Source organism: Homo sapiens, chromosome 6, assembly GCF_000001405.40.
Source record: "Homo sapiens chromosome 6, GRCh38.p14 Primary Assembly".
Classification (NCBI taxonomy): domain Eukaryota; kingdom Metazoa; phylum Chordata; class Mammalia; order Primates; family Hominidae; genus Homo; species Homo sapiens.
This window is the reverse complement of record NC_000006.12, coordinates 113,844,487-113,847,154: the sequence shown is the minus strand read 5'-3', so window position 1 is coordinate 113,847,154 and position 2,668 is coordinate 113,844,487. Positions and strand designations below refer to the sequence as shown.

General features: G+C 34.6%; 1 annotated feature.

Moving 5' to 3' along the window:
* Window positions 759-1,053: an enhancer, noted in NCBI's record as "tiled region #13716; HepG2 Activating non-DNase unmatched - State 24:Quies, and K562 Activating DNase matched - State 24:Quies". NCBI's record gives its function as "activates a minimal TATA promoter and a strong SV40 promoter by Sharpr-MPRA in HepG2 and K562 cells {active_cell/tissue: HepG2 | K562}" and the evidence as "EXISTENCE:reporter gene assay evidence [ECO:0000049][PMID:27701403]".

Sequence of the window (2,668 nt, the reverse complement as noted above, 5' to 3'; positions counted from 1 at the left end):
ACTCATTTCTCTCCATTTTTCAGGCTAAGAATAGAACCAGATATAAGGCCTCCTTAGGTTTCAGTATGGTTAAACACTCCACTACCAATTAGAATGTAAAACAAAAAATAAAATAAAACAAACCCTGAAGTTTTTGCCCATTTGTTTAGTTTATAAACCTCTTTTCACCTCCATTATCTTTCACGTCTCAGGCACATATTACATTATGTTGCTTTTTTCTCTAAAATTCCTATTGATTAGACTTTACTAAATATAAAAATAATTGAGTATCAAGGAGAAGACTGGAATTCTCACTGTATAATTTGTTATCAGCTCAGAACACCTCATGGATTATCCTTGTCAAGTTGTGTTGATTTATTTTCCTTTCAAACATCTCTGGTATTTTCTCCCTTCCAAGGACTAAAACTCAAGTCAATGTTCTTGATATTTTCTGCCTGAATTACCTACTAGGTCATCATTCCCCTCTCCAGGGCATTCAATGCCACAAATATCTCTCTTGTCACATCTCTGATCAAAAATTGGCTTCTAGTTGCCTGGGATCTAACCCTCCCTGCCTGACTTCCAAGGCTGTTTATAATCTGTCACCATAATCTCTAGACAGAGGACCAGTTTGGATCACTGAATGATGATTTATTAAACTCTTCCTTATAATTGTTTTAATTTGCCTCCCAATAAAGAACTAGTAGTTACAAGTTTTTAATATAGACCCAATAAATATACTTTATAGAGAAAAGACTGAAGAATTCCAAGATATTTTATAATTTAAAAAAATTTAGGAAGCCAGTTTTTCACCAGTGTCTCTCCCTCTCTCCTTTCTTCCCTAAAAACTAAGCAGATTTCAAGGAGGTTATCAACTGATCTCCCTTTTTACTGAGAAGAGAGCCTTGTCTTTGAACTTCTCAGGGTCCTGTCACAGTCTTTTATGTTTGTCTGACTCAACCACAGCAACAGTTGCATCAGTAGGGGCAAAATGTCCTCCTAAGAAGCAGAGAAGAGAAAATGACAATTGATAAATAATAGATATTTCCTCCTGATTATGTTGACAAGACCAGTTTTCCTTCTTGATCAAAATACTTTTTTTCATGTCCTTAACATTTTATTTTCTAACACTAACACTTAATTTCTTTATCTCCTGCTTTTTCCTACTGTAACTTTTTTTTTTTTTTGAGAAGGAGTCTTGTCTCAGTCACCCACGCTGGAGTGCAGCAGCGCAATCTTGGCTCACTGCAACCTCTGCCTCCCAGGCTCAAGTGATTCTTCTGTCTCAGCCTCCCGAGTAGCTGAGATTACAGGCATGCACCACCACGCCTGGCTAATTTTTGTATTTTTAGTAGAGACAGGGCTTCACCATGTTGGCCAGGCTGGTCTCAAACTCCTGACCTCAGGTGATCCTCCCACCCCGACCTTCCAAAGTGCTAGGATTACAGACGTGAGCCACTGTGCCCAGCCTCTACTGTGGCTTTAAATGTCCTGAATACTTAAACTATAGAATGGCCATTAATTGAATAAAATGGGTAGTAATTTTCCCTGCATCTACTTTTATATTCTTTTCACCAAATGACCAATAAAAAAAATTTTTTTTTACAACTTTTCATTTAAAAAATCCGTATTATTGTAATTGTGGTGTTTTGAAAATATTCAATAACAAGCAGGATAAAGAACTATTATAGTCTAGGCATCATCACTACTTTTTGAAAATAATTTGATTTTCATTTTAACTTCATTTTATTAATACAATCAAAAGATTCATTCAATTTACTGGGGGAGAATTGTAAAAAAATTTATTGGATATCAAGTAGGCAAATATCTAGTTAAATTGTTTGGTCCATATCTTTTTATTTAATGCTTTATTAAAAACTTTTAAAATTCTTAATGAGCTCCTCAGGACTATTTCATGAAACATATTAAAATGCAGCTTATGTCATTTTATACATAAATACATATATATATAATTCCTTATCACAGTGTATATATATGTGTATATATATATATATGCATGAACATGGCAAGAATATAAAGTTGAGAATGTTGATTTCCATTGTCATTGTATCAGAACTCATGGGAACAAGCAACTATCCTTTGTAATTATCACTTTATCAGAACACCCATCAGACCCATGCCAATCTCCAAATCAATTTAGGGGGGCATTCCTCTTTGGGACTGGCCCCAGAAGCCATATAAGAAACTGTTTCAATACTTTATGATTATATTTTATGACCACTTTTCTTACTGGAAACTGTGTTACCCACTTTGATCACTCTTTAATAATACTAACACCGCCCAGGTGCATTAAACATTTCAGTGTTCAAACAGCTTTCAAAATACAATTTTATTCACTGTGCTTTTGGCTGTTGCTAAAATAATATGGTACTTGTCTTTGGGGAATTTGCTCCCCTGGGGTGAAGGAGCTACACTGTAGTAGGACTACACTATGTGAAGACATGGGTTCAATTTCAGGTTCAAACATCTGGTGGCTACGTTGTGAACTAATGCAGTTGACTTCGGTTCTCTAAGCTCAAGTTTCTTCCTTTGTAAAATGTAGATAAAAGTTTCCATCTTAAAGAAAGAGTTCTAGTTCTAAGATTTAATAGAGATATCTAAAGGTAAGGTATGGTGATGTTGTTGTTTTAGGTGTTCTTTTAAAAAAAAATTATTTATTTATTTTTGA